At 40.4% G+C, this 17,805-nt stretch overlaps 1 pseudogene, besides 1 other annotated feature; it reads left to right on the top strand.

Moving 5' to 3' along the window:
* Positions 6,958-7,459: an enhancer, noted in NCBI's record as "OCT4 hESC enhancer chr10:82708488-82708989 (GRCh37/hg19 assembly coordinates)". NCBI's record gives its function as "activates a minimal SCP1, AML or CMV promoter by ChIP-STARR-seq in naive H9 embryonic stem cells {active_cell/tissue: H9 hESC(naive)}" and the evidence as "EXISTENCE:reporter gene assay evidence [ECO:0000049][PMID:30033119]".
* WARS2P1 (tryptophanyl tRNA synthetase 2 pseudogene 1) lies at positions 14,984-15,547 on the top strand (annotated as a pseudogene).

Genomic DNA, 17,805 nt, shown 5'->3' with positions numbered 1-17,805 from the left:
AATATCCTGCACTGAGTAAAACCCTACTCCTCAATGGGCAGTATTAACAAGCATCAAATTGGTAGTAGGGATAGAGGTGAAGATTATGCATTTAAATGACACCTGCCTTTGGGAAGTCAGAATCCACTGGGGAGACAGACATGCCCTCAATAGAAACCAAAGCACACAATGGTTCAAGGCTGCACCATAGGAAGTATTAAGCAAGGGCAGGTGGTAGAGGGAAGAACAGTAGAGCTTAGGTGGGGCTCAGAGGTAGAATAATATATTTGGAGGCAGTCCAGCTACAGGAAGGCATCACAAAGAGCCCTGAGTTGAACCTCAGCCCCAACACCTTCCATGGGGTCACCTGGAGCAATGCATATTGTCTTTCTGTATCTTTTTTTCTCTTCTATAAATGTGGGATTATGATAGTGTCTGCCCCACAAGGCAAGTACCAGGCTGTAAGCCCTATTGAGACAGCCAGGTAGGAGAGTGTCACTGGAAAAACTACAACAGGCCTGCGCACTTAGGTGGAGCCTCAGGACGTTTCCCATTTGCAGCGGGGAGGATGCTGGCCCATCCTCTTCCTGTGTGGAACCTGAGATTCAAGCTGTGGGTGGGAAGCCCTCTAGCAGGGACTCAGGCCTAGTGAGAGTCCCTGTCTCCCCCTTTTCTTCCTTTTCACCCAATGAAACACTGCTTTACTCACCCTTCAAATAGAGAGCAAGCCTAAATTTTCATGGCCGTGGGACGGACAAGGACCCCATCTTTAGCTGATAACTTTAGAGATTGTAACATTGGAATAAAGGAAAATGTATGGGACTCATAAAGAGCTGAAATGTTCATTAATACCAAGCAAAACAAGAGTTAATTAAATGGACTGAACTCAGAAAGCTGAAGCAAATCTTTTTGACTTCTGCTTAAAATATTACTGATCCTTGTTTTGTTTTTCAAAGTCAAAGAAACTTATTTTAAGCTATTTACAGCCTTCGATAATTGAGTAAGGTATACTCCTATGAACAAAATTTAGAGCATGTTTGTTTCTCTCTGCCTGTTTCCTCTAGAATTTGGAAACTATCTGTGAGTATTCTTATGGCAATACAGTTGTTTGCATCAGTGCAATAAGAATTCATTTTTCTTTTGCAACAGAACACAATTGGAGAAAGTGGTTATTTTACCAAGGCTTTGACTGGAAGGGTATGTGTCCCTTTAAGGAGTCAATCTCAACTTGCAGAGCCAATAAAAGCCCAGTGGGGAAAGTGGCCTCATACCCTTGCCTATACAGTCCCTGTACAGGGTTCCTGACCCGTGATCAGCAAAGAATGTCACTTTCTAACAGGTCTAGGAGCTCCAAGTTTATCTTGGGACCTTAAGAGGAGAGAATCACCCAACTCACAGGTGTTTGAGGATACAAACCCATGGGTGGGCTCAGCTTTAAAAGGTCTTATCTGAGATTCCTTGTGGAACAAACTTCCATCAAAGCCAATCCAAAAGTCCTATGTAGAAATAATTATTCTTGCTGTACTTTATGCAAATAATCAAGCCAAGTATAAGACTAAAGTATATTTTGCAAACGACTCGGTCCTATTAAGACTTGGGTTTTTTTTTTTTTTTTTAGCAAAAATGAGGACTAGAGAGAGAAAAATTATGTTTCAAAACCTATGAATTTGTCATTAAATTCTAAACTCACTAGTTTTTAAGTTGTTACCTACATTTTAGACTAACCCTGCTTGTTCCTGTGAACCAACCAGAAATCTCCAGCTGCAGCTCAGAAAGAACAAAAGGGGTGGGTAATGTAAAAATCTGGATCAGTATTCCTGCAAATCTTGCCAGGTGATAGGAATAAATAAATAAACTCAGAGATTTCTTTTTGGGAAAGTAAGACCAAGGGGACGAACCAGAGCCAAGCACCTTGCACCCAAATCCTAGCAAGCATAACTATAGCTACCAGTTATCTGGGTGCGTCACAAGACATGCTTTCCTCTCTTTTTTTGGAGGAGGACTCAGGTCCACAGTTTCACTTTAGCATTTGGCTTATGATAAGGAGTGAATGCAACCCCCTGAGATACATTTTTATCCCAGACTCAATTCCAAGCTTTAGGTCAAAGCCCTAGGAAAGAAAACTGGATCTGAGGAATCCAGAGGCAAATGGTAACAGAGGTTAAAAGACACAGCACAGGTGAGTGTGGCTGATTGCTGCCGATTAAGCCAATCCCATCGTTCCTGCTTCATGGATAAAGGCCGCGTTAGTATCCACGGCATAAATGAGGTCTAGATAACTCCAAGGCTACTGACAGCAGCGGGGAAAGAGGCATAGGTCAGAGCAGATAATTCCTATTCTCTAGGCCCTCCCCACTTCATGGGTGCAGGCCGCCTTTACACCCGTGGCGGCGCCTGCCAAAGTCACCAGAACTCAGGGATGCAAGGATGGAAGAAGGAAAAAGGACGCTCTTTCCCTCTCCCTTACATACTCTGGGTATCTGCTAGGAATAGAAAGGAACTGGGGATGCCTGCTCCCATCTTTCTAGATGGGCAGCCATTAATCTTCAGTCTGTACCCCTTTTGAATGCAGCATAAACCTCTGGGACTCCTTTGAAAAAGAATGCCTTCTATTTTCTTCCCTCCTTCTCAGTTCTCTCTTCACTAATAGGTAATTGTGTCTCCATAATATGGGACACTCTCCTCAGATGCATCCTCCAAACTGGAAAGAGTTGATTTCCCAAAGTTTTTTTGTTTTGTTGTTTTTTTTTTGAGATACGGTCTCACTCTGTCGCCCAGGCTGGAGTGCAGTGGCACGATCTCAGCTCACTGCAACCTCTGCCTCCCAGGTTCAAGCAATTCTCCTGCCTCAGCCTCCTGAGTAGCTGGGATTACAGGCACGCGCCACCATGCCTGGCTAATTTTTGTATTTTTAGTAGAGATGGGGTTTCACCATGTTTGTCAGGCTGGTCTCGAACCCCTGACCTCATGATCCGCCTGCCTCAGCCTCCCAAAGTGCTGGGATTACAGGCTTGAGCCACCGGACCTGGCCAGTTTCCCAAATCTTAAACTTACTGGTTTAGGATTGGGCTCAGGGGAAGGGAACCCAGAAGCGCAACATGCCGGCAAAAGAGTAAAGTTTCTTTGCCAAAGTTTTGGCCTCCCTCTCCCTGTGCAAACTGGTAAAAGGCCTCAGAATTTTTTATCTGTCCTTACCTCCCCTTTGTTTCATTTTGATACATGTTTTCTGATAACCCGGTTTGTCTGTTCTTGCCTTCAGGCCATCAAACTCCAAACGGTAATACAACCAGAGCCTTGGGCGATGGCCCCTTTGGCTGGGGACTCTTAACTAGGCCTCTGAGGGATCTCTGACTGCTTTTTTCCCCCAAAACAGTGCCCCCTGTCAACAGGAAGCAGTTAAGATCTTTCTTCCTCCTTATTCTTAATCTAACAGCAGTTAGATGTACTTCTTTACAGGAATGAATGAGACAGCCAGGTTGGCGGTGGGGGCCAGGTGTTGAGGGGGGGCCCTAAAAAACTCCAACTGGACTGCGCACTTGGGTGGAGCCTCAGGACATTCGCTGTTTGCAGTGGGGAGGAGCCTGCCCCCTCCTCTTCCTGTGTGGAACCTGAAATTCAAGCTGCAGGCAGGAAGTGCTCTAGCAGGTACTCTGGCCTAGCGAGAGTCCCCGTTTCCCCCTTTTCTTCCTTTCCACCCAACAAAACCCTGCTTTACTCACCCTTCAAACCATCTGTGAGCCTACATTTTCATGGTTGTGGGACGGACAGGGACCCCGTCTTTCGCTGAACTAAGGAAAAGTCCTGCAACACTGTAAAAGATACAACTAGATTTTTGTTTTTATATTTTCCTTCCTTTTTTTCCTCACCAGTGGTTCACCAGGACCTGGCAAAGTATAAGCCATATTGTAGACATTCTATAAACATTTATTAAATAAGCTAATGAGAACAGATATGGAAATTAAATTAGATAATAGATGCAATGAGTTAGAACAGGACCTCGTTCTTAGTAAGACCCTCAATGGATGCTACTTATTGTTATCATTTTTATTAGATGGTAGAAATGAGTATTGTAAAATCAAAAGATATCTGAGACACGTCTCAATTAATTAAAAAGCTTATTTTTCCAAGGTTAAGGACATGACTGTGACACAGCCTCTGGAGGTCCTGACAACATGTGCCCAAGGTGGGCACATGTTGCCCAAGGGCTAAGACTTGGTTTTAGACATTTTAGGGAAACATAAGACATAAATCAGTACATATAAGATGTACATTGGTTCAGTCTGGAAAGACAGGACAACTGGAAGCAGGGGCTTCTAGGTGATAAGTGTATCCAAAGATTTATAGGTGCATTCAAAGATTTTCTGATTGGCAATTGGTTGAAATATTATCCAAAGACTCAGAATCAATAGAAAGGAAAGATCTGGGTTACAATAAGGGCTTGTGGAATCCAAGGCTCATATCATGCAGATGAAGCCTCCAGGTAGCAGGCTGCAGAGAGAATAGATTATAAATGTTTCTTATCAGACTTAAAGGGTCTGTTCCATCAGTCTTAATGTCTGTGTTGATGTTAATGGTTTTCAGGCACATCCCATTCCCCCTTCCCATTATGGTCTGAACTAGTTTTTCAGGTTAACTTTGGAATGTCCTTGGCCAAAAGGAGGGGTCCATTCCAATAGTTGGGAGCTTAGTGTTTTATTTTTGGTTCACAGTATCAAAGAATGAAAAACTTAATAAGTAAAGATATGAGGACCTAAAGTTATGTCAACACAACTGTTTCTGAATTGGTTACATGATTAAAAATAGCATTTTCTTTCTTAAAAGATCACTTGCTTAATACATCAGTACTAACATAACAAAGTCTAAATCCTCACTACTGTGTTTGATACTTACATACACAACTGCATAAGTACGCTAAATTACTAAGTACGCTAAATTACTAAGTACAACTGCATAAGTATGCTAAATTACTAAACTACTAAGTAATATCCTTTGTTTTTATTCCTATTGTTATTTATCAATCTTCTTTGTTCACTCTGAGAAAGGAATTACTGCATAATCACCATGGTATGGCCAGCCTCATGTCTATAAAACTCTTTCTCTACTACAATGCTGGGGTCTTCCTTTATGCAGTGGGCAGAAATAACCTCTCAGATGGTTACAAATTTGGAGGCTTGTCCAGAATTGCCCTTGTGGCTCCCTGGCTGCAGTTCAGTAGCCCCCCACCAGCAAAGAATCTAGAGGCCAGCCCAAGTGGCTGCCTAGACTGGAGACTGACTCTGGCACCATCTCTACCTGTGGGGCATTGCCCACCCATGATGCATGGATTTAATTGCAGGAGAGAAATCGTTCCTAGAAAGAGGTTTTTAAACTGGTCTGGTGGGTATTCTAGGTGCTGCCAACATCTCCTTCCTTCTCCTGATTGGTTCAGCTCCTTAGGGGTCTTGGTTCAGCTTCTTTGGAGGTCTTGGTTGGCTCTACCTGAATAGTAGGAATAGTCTTGGTTCAGGAGATTTTTCCTCAATTGAGAAGTTTTGGGGAGATTGCTCACATGGAGAACAGGAGTTTAGTTTGAAGGAATACTCATGAAATTCTTGTTTAGGGATCTTGGTTTGGAAGACCTCCTGTCTGTCTTACCTTTGTGTGTGTGTCTGTACATGTGGAGGGGATCTCTAAAGAAATTGGTGATGAAGGTCAGCAGGCCTAAATCAAAGAACCCTCTTTAAGTCTGTTCACATTCAATGAACCCTGAAGGAATTGTTAATGGAAGCACAACAGGCCTGACTCGAGGTGACCATTTGCTCCTTCATCTTGTCCATAGTCCTGCATTTCTGGTTGGAAGTTATCCCTCCCCTCTTTGAGGGGATCAAAGAAAATAGGGACTCATGGGGGCAAGTTTGAACCCTGCTAGGTTAATATTGGGTACTAAGCAAGGTGACTAGTGTCTGTTTTGTTACAGTATTTTATGTCAGCTGGGATGGAAAATGTTAACTTGGTTCCCCCATGCAGCCCGTTTGGTAACATCTTGTAAAATCGAGAGGGTTTTGCCTATCGTTCCATGAAACAGAAAAAAAGTAATTTTCCTTTACAACTACGGTGCAGCCAGCAGGGTCACTAAGGCCACTCAGGAAAGGGAACCCAGAAACCTGGCATGCTGGCAAAGGGTAAGAATTTCTTACCAGTCAGGCTTCTATCCTCTCGCTCTTTCTGTGCAAACTGGTTGAGTGAATGTTAAGAAATCACTGTTTACTAATGAGAAAAAGGATTTATGAGGCTAGTCTGAGGCTGTAGTGAATCTGATGTACCTTGTGCTATGAATTTGTCTTTCTATGCTGTTCTGTCACAAAGAACGGTACCACAGGATAGAACATGGGCTTAGGACCCATATAAGCCCACTGTTCAAGCCAGCCTATCAGACTGGTCAATTACAAACTTTGCTGTGGGTCCCGGAAACAAAAACCAAACGTGGTCTCCCTCTTGTTTTACATCCTTGAGAGCGTGACTTTGTGACCATGTGAGGGTACTCTCTCTTGAGCTCCACCATCCAGAGCGCAGGAATTTTCGAGGCCATGTCAGGACCGGGAGTCAGAGATGAGTGAGCACACTCTTCATCATGAATGTGTTGAGCCCTTGGGTGAATTTTGTCTGAAAAGGTCCCATCCCTATAGGGCTCTTGTCATCTCTTGCTATCTTTTTTTATTTTCTCTCTTTTTTTTTTTTTTGGAGACAGAGTCTTTTTCTATCACCCAGGCTGGAGTGCAATGGCGTGATCTCAGGTCACTGCAACATCCACCTCCCAGCTTCAAATGATTCTCCTGCCTTAGCCTCCCAAGTAGTTGGGATTACAGGCACCCACCACCACACCCAGCTAATTTTTGTATTTTTAGTAAAGACGAGGTTTTGCCATGCTGGTCAGGCTAGTCTCGAACTCCTTACCTCAGGTAATCCGCCCACCTCAGCCTTCCAAAGTGCTGGGATTACAGGCCTGAGCCACCACGCCTGGCATCTCTTGTTATCTTAAGCCCATTTTTGAGAATAAATTCTTGGGGATCATGGAGATGCCTTTTCTACCCCCTTTCTCGAAATACCTTTTGTTTATATCGTAAAAAACCTGGAAAGATCTCAAAAGGCCAATCTACAATAGTGGTGTTACTTGCAGGAGTAGTTGGTAAAATTGCATATCTTAAAACCTCTGGAATAATGGCTGACAATCATTTATGTCTGCACCTTGGCAGAACTCAGGCTCTGTTTCACCTCCCAGCTTGCTGACCTCCCATTAGCATTACAAAAGCAGTTGAGTTTTGGGCAAGACCTATTATGGTTTACACTGTAGCCTAAACATCTTGCAAAGTTAGTTCAGCCCAATAACCCAGGAAAAATTAAGGGAAAGGCAACATGGGGGGTGGGTTAGCTTAGCTTACTATAACAATTTTTCTTACTGATACGATTTTTGCAAAGGCGGTTTCAGTTGCACTGAGAGACTTATACACTTTAATCTTTGTGCTGAAGAAACAGTTTCATTATCATTGATTTAGTAGTAAAGGTAAAAGTTTAGCTATGCTCCCTTTTCCTGTTTTTGTTGTCCTTCAAGAGTTGTTTGGTTTGGTGTGGAGTAGCAGTTCTTTAGGTTTGCTTTTTTTATTTTTCATTTACAAGTTTAAACTCTTCGACTGTAGAGTAAACTTCAGAATATGTATATATTTCTTCTTACAAAGAAAAGGATTTCTTAGATAACTTGAACTGTAGACAAAAGAAAGAACACCAAATTCAAGCAAAGATTTTTTTGTGTGTTAAAACTTCCATGTGATATTTAATGTGCCTTATCTTCTTACTTTATTTTACAGGCTTAAAAATCATGAGGGAAATCAAACTTTATCTTTTAACGGGTAAATGCCAAAGGAAGTCCTTTATTAGTTGGTGCTAAGACTTCGGATGTATTTTTTTTTTTTTTTGCGGTGGTGGTGGGGGGGAAATAAGTAGAAAGATAATTTAGCTAGAGCTTATAAAAGAAGTTAGTATTTTAGTTTCCAATGAGCTCATTATTTTGCATTTTCTCCATTGCCATGGAATTCATATTTAACTGTAGCAAGTAACCAGAGGTGTCACTGCAAAATAAGCCATGTGGTTCAATAACAAATCTTTGTTTATTCTAAAATAAACATTTTTTGTTGTTGTTTATCTCATTCATTATTGTTACTTCTGTCAGAGGTGTTTGAACCAGAGCAACTCCATCTTAAATAGGGGCTGGGTAAAATGAGGCTGAGACCTACTGAGGCAGGAAACTAGGGTCTGGATGCAGGGAACATAAGGCCAATTCACGCTTCAGCTATGACAGGAAATACCCTCTCCATAGGGCTTACGTGGAGTAAATGACTTCGTAACTTTACTTCATCCTCTCCCTTCATATAGGGCGTATTCCAAGTAACCAATGGAATCCTCTAGAGGGTATTTAAACTCCCAAAAATTCTGTAATGGGGTCCTTGAGCCCCTATGCTCGGGCCCACTCCCACACTGTAGAGTGTACTATCATTTTCAATAAATCCTTTATTCCTTCCTTGCTTTGTGTGTTTTGCCCAATTCTTTGTTCAAGATGCCAAAAACCTGGACACCCTCCACTGGTAACACTACTGGGCTGCATTCCCAGAGAGTTGAGACATTCTAAGTCACAGGATACAATAGGAAGGAGTCTGGCATAAGTTGCAGGTCATAAAGACCTTGCTGATAAACAAGTTGCAGTAAAGAAGCCGGCCAAAACCCATCAAAATCAAGATGGTGACAAGAGTGACCTCTAGTCGTTGTCACTGCTACACTCCCACCAGCACCATGACAGTTTACAAATGCTATGGCAACCTCAGGAAGTTGCCCTATATGGTCTAAAAAGAGGAGGCATGAATAATCCACCCCTTGTTTAGCATATCATCAAGAAATAACATAAAAATGCGCAACCAGCAGCCCTCAGGGCTGCTCTGTCTATGGAGTAGCCATTCTTTAATCCTTTACTTTCCTAATAAACTTGCTTTCATTTGACTCTATAAACTAGCCCTGAATTCTTTATTGCGCAAGATCCAAGAACCCTCTCTTGGGGTCTGGATCAGGACCCCTTTTCTGTAACACTTCTACTTAGTAACAAAATTTGTCTTGTGTACTTCAGCACAGGACTCAAAGTATCTCCCTGTGGTTCTATGAGAAAGGAACTGTTGGTATGGAAAAATAATTTGCCCTTCCACCCTTCATAGGTTCTTAGCTGGGACTTCCTGTAACAAAAGACAAATTAACAAGAGAACATCAAACAGAAGTTTAATAACATGCATGCCTCCTGCATACATGGCAGATAACACAGAAAAAATTACTAAATCACTACAGTAGATTTTCAAAGAGATTTCTTAGACTTTAGGTTCAAATATCCATTGTTCTTTGAAACAAAGAAAGAAAGGAGTGGGGAAAGGCCTATCTAAGCGTAAAACAAGAGTAAGATGTACTATGCAGATTTAACTGTGATGCCTTCTCTACTGACTAAGAGTCTTTAGTGAATTAGCCTTCTCTTTCTGGGACAGAGAGGGAGAGTTGAAAATTATTATTTTTATTATAAACCTATAAATTTCTCTTTTACTTCTACAAAAGTAGTATGTCAAAAGGTTTTTTAAAGTTTCTAAGCTCCTTGAATATGGTTGCTGATCATGATTCCTTGCAATTTGAAAAATTCTCAATAAACATTTGTGGAATTGTTTTGAATACAATTGATTGGCATAATGACATACTACTGTCTACAGTTAGCACTAAGAACAAATTAATGTAGTTTACATCACTCCAAAAACGATCCTTACAAAGACTTGAGTGAGTATGTCATGGCATCACAGAATATGAGTTTGGGAATAACTTAAATTTCTAGAATTCCTCCATATTCACCTTCTTATAAAAGTCACAGAGTAAATGTTGCTGACACTGAATATTTCAGGTACATAATTTCTCTTCCTCCTCCTGTTGATGTTCCTCCCACAAACATGATTTAGTCTTTGGCCTCAATCTTGGTAACATGTTCTATAGTGGCATCTCACATTTTTTGGGAATTAGAAATAGCAGTTGATTTCTTAAAGATTGACATTCCTGTCATGCAACTGGTTATAAAATTTGTTCAAAGAAAAACTTGAGCTGAATTAAATTTAAAGGAGTTTAATTAAGCAATGAACTATTCGCAAATCGGGCAGCCTCTCAAGCCAGAGTAGGCTCTGAGAATCCAGCGCAGCCACGTGGCAGAAGAAGATTTATAAATAGAAACAGAAAATGACATACAAAAAATGGAAGTGAGGTACAAAAACAACTGGATTCGTTACAGCTTGATATTTGCCTTATTTGAACATAGTTCAAATAGTTGGCTACATTTGCTTGGCCAAAATCTGTTGATTGGCACAAGTGTAGGCTATGGTCTTTTTACACCTGCACTTGTTATAGTTCACAATGTAACAAACTTAAAATATTTCAGGTCAAACTTTAAATATGTAAGGAGGCAGCTTTAGGCTAAATTTGATTTAACAAATTCATAAAGAGAGGAGGAACACTCTTATCCTACATTTATTTGAAATTTAAGATAGTTCTTTTTATTTAAACACAAATATTTTCATTATATTATATTTGTGCCAGTTATTAAGTAACTGTCACAGCTCCACACCAACTTTACCTAGCTCTGTAATGCTGGAGCTGAAACTCTGCAAACTGTATTCTTGCATTGCCAGCTGTATCTGTTAGGCTCTGCCAGAAGAGGACAGTAGAGGGAAGCTAGCTGGAGGAGAGGGAGATTTGCTCTTTCCTGTTTGTTTCTGGACAGCCTAGCATTAGAATGACCAACAACCACATCTTTCTTTTTTTATCCTGGCAGCAGCAATGGCAGCAGCTCTATTCAGTTTGCAATTTTTTCATCACTTACAAAACCAGCCTCACGCTCCCCTGACCTTACAGACACCAGGCAGGCCAGCCTGTGCTCTGCCATGAGGGGTCTGAGTTTCAGCTTTGCAGGGCTCCTCTTTTAGGTTATTGTTTTAATAATTCATTTATTTCCTTTGCTGCCCCAGCCCTGGGAATGACAGTTGTTTCCTACAATTGCTACTACCCTGATATCTTAAATTTGGCTTTTTACCGTTTCAGTTTCCTGCTAAACACCTTTGTATTGACTAAGATTCTTTTCTTGGCCAAACCTTAGTCAAACTCCCCTGAATCTTCTCTTCTACAGGCCTGTTCATGTACTTTCTTTGTGGAGTCCAGTTTTAGCATGAATCCTGCTAGGTCAGCTTAGCAGAACTCCCAACCCTATGATACAGACAGGAGACAGGGAAATACTGGGTAGAGGAGGGTGGTTCTCCAGCAAAGGCCCCACCCTCACACCTGGATACCCATGGCCCTAAATTCCTGTTTTCGCACCCAGAACTTGCCTTTTGGCCTGCCAAACCCCCTATCCTGTACCCATGTAAAACCCAGACCCCAGGCTTCAGGGACAGACAAGGAGACAAGCAGACAAGCAGATGAATGTCAGAACGGTGTGGAAGAGAATGAGAGAAGGAGCGTCTGAACATCAGGAGGAGTTCGGCTGGGGACGGTTGGAGAATCAGCCACTGGAAAGCCAAACTCCAGAGGAAGATCATTTTCCCACTCCATCCATGTCCAACTCTGCTTCCATCCCACTGAGAGCCACCTCCACCATCCAATAAATCCCCGCATTCACCATCCTTCAGGTCCATGTGTGACCCAATTCTTCTGGGATGCTGAACAAGAGCTCGGGATACAGAAAGCTGTCACACTGGCCCTCTGCCCTTGCAAAAAGGCAGAGGGTCCACTGGGCTGGTTAACACTTAAATCATCCATGATGGCAACGCTAATCTTTTAGCACACTGTAACGCATGCCCATTTGAGCTCTTGCACCTGTCCGTCTGCATGCTCCCACTCCCGTAGGGGTTTGAGCAGCAGTGGCGACTAAATAGATGAGCCGCACCCCTGTTGCACGTTCTGTGAGGGGGCTCAGGGAACTCTCCTGTTTCACCTTCATATTTGGTATCTGATCAAACTCTTCATCTCCACTATTCCAAGATGGTATCTGGTCATCCTGCCCTGCCTTCAGCAGGAATCCCGTTTGGCCAGTTCAGCCAGAATCCCCCCAGACTTGATGTCTCCTCTTCTTAGTAGTTTTCCAGCTATCAATTTCCCCATATCCCCAACTTGCTTCTTGGCTATAAATCTCCATTTTGTTCTAATTATATTTGGAGTTGAATCCAGTTCTATTTCTATAGAACTGGAATCTCTCTTCTGCTACTGCAATAGTTTTTGTTTTGTTTTGTTTTTCTTTAATAGACTCCATCCTCACTGGTTTAATTTCTGTCCAGCTCTAGTTATCCTTAACAGTGTCTGGTTAAATTATCTCTGTTCAAATAACTAGTATGTTCTGTCTCCTGATGGTACCCTGATCTCACACAGTATTGGATAATCAAAGTAATGAAATAAATACTTATTTTAAAACTACATACCTGAGCTATAAGTATTTAGCTATTAAAACATTAAACTAATATAAAGCCAAATACACATAGAATCATAGAATAATGATGCATTTCAAAAAACATGAAAAGCTGGAAATATTAATATTCTGAGAGGGCCATAGAGCTATGCTGAAAATCTCTGAATTCATGTTGAATTGTAACTTCAAATTGCATGAGGACGCTAAGTTGAGCAAAAGATTAACCAATTTTGGCACTTCGGTACCTGAGACAGAGGAAGTAACTGAAGGAATAAATTAGAACAAAAAGGGGAAAAAAGAAGGAAGAATATGTGGATTAAGTATCCTAAGTTTTAAATATAATACGTTATTTTTGTGAAGTTATAAAAAATAATGTAAATTCACAGAAGAAAAATTGGAAAAAAAAGAGACAAAAAATAAATCCAAAATCTCCACAAGCCTTCTACTATGCAATTGAAATTAACTTTGTGTTCAGGTTTTCAATTTTCTTCTATATGATTACAATTTTTTCACTGTTTTATAACTTTATTCTTTAATAAGATAGGATCGAAGACAGTAAGTAATTCTAATGTGTTGATATTTTGAACATTATTAATGTGTTCTCTCTCTTACCTTATCCATCTTTCTGCAGGCAGTTGAACATATGTTTCAGAAGAAATGGAAAGAACAAAGCAATAATCAGCTTCTGATAAGAAAACTAGGATTTTGCCACAAGAAAATTAGCTTGAGAGGCAAGCATTTTGAGACAGGATTTTCAAAATTTCTTTATCTCCTCTATTTAAAATTGCAGCGGCCGTGCCTGACAGATACATACTTACAGAGTTCTCCCACAGTTTGGCAGAGATAGACCTTCTACACAGGACAATAAATTCATAAAGCTTTTCTCTTGATGATAGGAGGCTATGACAGAGGAGACGTAATAGGAAAAGAGAAAGACAGAAAAAAAGGCATTGAGACAAGCAGATAAATGGCCCTGCTTCATCTCAGGTTTGGCCATGACCTGTTGACCAGGGAGATGTGGCTCTTCCTGAGCCATTCCTAGTTTCCGTGTGATAGACATGGGATTCAAAGATGTTGTGAGTCCTGCTGTGGAGCATGTTGAAGGGCACCAGGAAGGGAGCAAGGGGAGTCTCTAGCAGCTGCCACAAAGCACTTCCTCTGAACTGAACCACAGCAGAGACCCAGCCAAACGTCAGTCTTCTTCTGCCAGGGAGACACAAGGTGGGCACAGCAGAGTCAGCCAAAGAGAACAGAGGCCCAACATAGCTGAGAATGATGGGCATATGACTTATATTAGTCAAAATTTTCTGTCTTGAATGCCAGCGGGGCCAACAGTTCAGGCAGAAGGAATATTGTCCTGAAGACCAGCAGACTAAGCATAAATTAAAAGTCACCATGAAGATTAGAGGATCATTTTTCCCGTCCAATGCCATGTGTTCTCCTAAATCACCTCCTGGATGCAATTTCAAACATATCCTCCCATCTGAGAGAAGGAAGCATGAGGAGGGGAAGAAATTAAGACAAACAGTATTTTTTATGAAAAAGTGACTCAATATTACCCAAAGTTACCATTTAAGTTATCAGCCTGGACTAGGCTTAAAGCAAGACTAAACACAGGTCATTCTTCCCACTAACCTGTGGGTAGGGACTTGAGAGAGAAGGTTGTATAAATTATAGATAAAAATTAAGAAAAGTACATTTTTTCTACACATCAGAGTCATACTTTGAATTTCATTTTGCAATTCAACACATGATTACTTCCAAGACAATTTTAAGAGATACATGGCATTTCCTTTCATGGTATTTCATATCATGTGTTAGTTATCTATTGTTGCCATAACAAATTACCACAAACTTAGCAGCTTAAATAAGGCCTATTTATTATCTTGCAGTTTCTGAGGGTCTTACAAGGCTGAAATCGAAGTATTGGCAGGGGCTGCAGTTCTCACCTGGGGCTTGGGACCCTCTTCCAAGCTCACTAGCTATGGGCAGAATTCTGTTCCTTGCAATTGTAGGATTGATGCTCCTGTTTTTGGACAGAGTATCTCTTTCATCTTCAAGCCAACAATAATGGCAAATCTTTCTTGTGCTTCCTATATCTCTGGCTTCCCCTTCTACTGCCCCTCTCTGCCTTCCTCCTCTGCTTTTAGGGCCTCGAGTGTTTACACTGGGCCACCTAAATATCCAGGATAATTTTCCTATTTAAATATAAACTAACTAGTAACCCATCTGCAAATTCCCTTTTGCCACTTAACACAACATAACCACAGGAGTAACACCAAGGTAGCAGAGATTACAGGGACCAAAATTCTGTCTACTACACATGATGTATCTCAAATAATTTGTTTTGCTAATTGCCTACCATTATCCATTCAGGCTCTTTATTTCTTTGCTTGTGATACACAATTAAACAATCAACAACCTTGCATAAAGCTTCAGCACAGGACCTTGGACCAGGAATTTTGCAGAGGAATAGTGGCTGATCTTGTCCTCAAGCAGCATGACATACATTAAATATTTGCAGGCATTCAGCTCACGGGGACCTTCCATACTTGCAAATAACTGACAGTCATTAGAGTTAGGTGAAGCTGTAGAAAGACTAAGTAAGGCACTGTACTGTCAAGCACCACTGATGCACAACTCATCCACATCTTACAGGCTCCAGTTCTCCTTGGAGAGCACATCCTGAATACCATGGTGGTATAAATAAAGAGAAAGTCATCTTTTTCAACAGTCTCTGCTGTCTGACTGCACATGATTAAGTTGGAGTCTTACATACTTGGCCAGGATGCCATAGTTACAATACTTACACCAGGGAAAGGCAGAGCAAGCAAGCCAGAATCATGATGGCCCCATGGGCCCACTAAGCCCCAGGCTTCAGGCTGCAGATGTTATGTTATATAAGACCACAAACATGGCTTTGATAGGGGGAGGGTGAGTCCAGCCCAAGGAACCAGTACAGGATCTCACACAAGGTTTCAAAAAGAAGTTTGAAGAAATCCCTTCCAGTCCCCAGTTTAACTTCATGAAGTAGGTAAGATCCCTCATAATCCCTCTGCCAAACTCTTTAAGCCCATCCTAAATAAACAAAGCAAACTGCAAATAAAAAGTTGTGTATGACCACAGATGCTAAGAAAATAGTTATATGTAAAAAGGAGCTCTATAAACAACCTGATATTAATGAATTTTAAAATCTCAGTTAACTCGATAACTGTATAAACAATTTTTAATTATAAAATGTACTCAGAATTAAGTAGAAATATTTATTTGCCAACTTTAGCATATAGAGATGACAGGTCAAATCACTGGAAAATTTGTCAAATTCTGTAAGTTGCCTGGGATAATAATGTAATTATTTAGAAATAATTATATACTACCTTTAGCTTACATAATGCACTAGTATTTAGTCCAGGTGTATTAAAAAAAGCTATCCAATATAAGAGTATAGAAAATAAACCCAACATTTAAATAATCTCATGGTACATTAATCTTTCCAAACTATGACACCGAAGTGAGAAGCAATCAAGTTACTTACAAAGTCCTTTCAATCTGATAATGAAAATAAAACTGAGTCATTTCTGTTTTATACTTCATTTAATTTTCAAAGACAGCATAGCATCATGATTAGAATCTTGGATTTAGATCCCAGCTCCTTTCTTCTGAACTATGTGTCCTTGGGCAAATTCCACAATCACTTCATGCCTAATTTTCGTGAACTATAACGTGAAGATATTATAATTTACCCTCTAAGATTGTTATGAGAATTAAGAAAGTAAACACAGGCTGAAAAACTGGAACAGGGTCTGGGCCTATGGTAACCACTCAGTAAATGCCTATTTTTATTATTATCCATTTTCCCTTTGCCCCTGTTCTATAATTCCAGACATGTCCTCCATGTCTTTTTAAACCTCTCCTCTATTTATTCACCTCATTTGTTTCCTCTGAATCAGAGAGAATTTCTTACTTTGTCATCACAACTTATGATTTGCCTTTCTGCAGAATCTAGTCTGCTTTTCACTGTCTCCTTTAATCTATTTCAAATTTTTGGAAATGAATGTTTTTCATTTCTAGGAAAACTTTCTGTATGTCAGATTATTTCACTTTTAATTCACTGGAATCTTTTATTTTGATCTCTTTAACCCATTTGAATTAGACTTGCTCCCATTTTCTTTTTCACTTGTAGTATTTGCCTCAAATGTCTCATTCACTTTGCTTCCTTGAATTAAGCCAACCTTTATAAACATTGAAATGCTTTTTCCCTCTGATAACTTTTTCCTTCTGTTTATCCATCTTTAGAGAGGTCAGTGAAGGGAGCCTGATTGGCTGAGATGATAGATCAGGTGATTAATCTTTCAGAGACTCAGAGATAATTTCTTTCAGAGATTGAGCCTCTCCACAATTTTCAAATCTCATGAAGAATAAACAGACAGTTTAGATGTTCACTTTTCTTTATTAGAATTCTAAAGTAGACATAGAGTTTTCATTACTTTGCCAAATTATTGGCTTTCTGAACTTCCTATGAAAGCATGAAGTTAGTCAAAGCAGCCTTCCTGTCCATCCCGTAATTGGCAACCTCCTGATTAGGAGGCAGCTTTGAGAGTTCCTCTTTTACTGAGCATGACAGTCCTTAGTGCACTTGCCAAAAGCATTGAATTCATTTCCTCCAAAATCTGCCCATGACCCACCTTTCTTCCTCTTTACAGCCCCTCTTGCCATGACTCTCTTTTATCTTTCTTTCAGCAGCTATCACCCTCTGACATGTTATGTATTACAGGTTCATTTGCTTATTGCCTGCCCCCACACACACACAATAAGTGCTCAGGAAATATTTGTTACATAAGTATTTTCCCCATATAAAATTAATATTGATCCATTAGCCCTTTCCTCAATACAGTATGCTTTTCTAGTATATCTGCTGAAAAGAGTCTGCAAAATTCCACAAAATTGCTGACATGGTTTCCAAGCCTGACCTTTTGTATAATTTCAATGGGAATTGATACAAGTTGGATGACAAATGCAGTTCTAAAATTGCCATATTGAATCATTAGTTTTCTTTATAGTTTATAGTTTGTTTTTCTTAAACTTCAACAGTCCCGAATTTTATTTGCTTTTAACATGGTGAAAAGCAAATATGATATAAATGGTTTGTGGTATAAAACAGCCCAAACTCTTTTTTTACCCTAATGTAAAGCAATTACTTTTAATTTTTGTGTGTGTGTTTAGTTCTTCCAGTGCTTACTTTTTTTTTTTTTTTTATCAGATGGAGTCTCGCTCTGTCATCAGGCTGGAGTGCAGTGTCACGATCTTGGCTCACTGCAACCTCCACCTCCTGG

Source organism: Homo sapiens, chromosome 10 (assembly GCF_000001405.40).
Source record: "Homo sapiens chromosome 10, GRCh38.p14 Primary Assembly".
NCBI lineage: Eukaryota > Metazoa > Chordata > Mammalia > Primates > Hominidae > Homo > Homo sapiens.
This window is presented reverse-complemented; position numbering and strand designations above follow the sequence as displayed.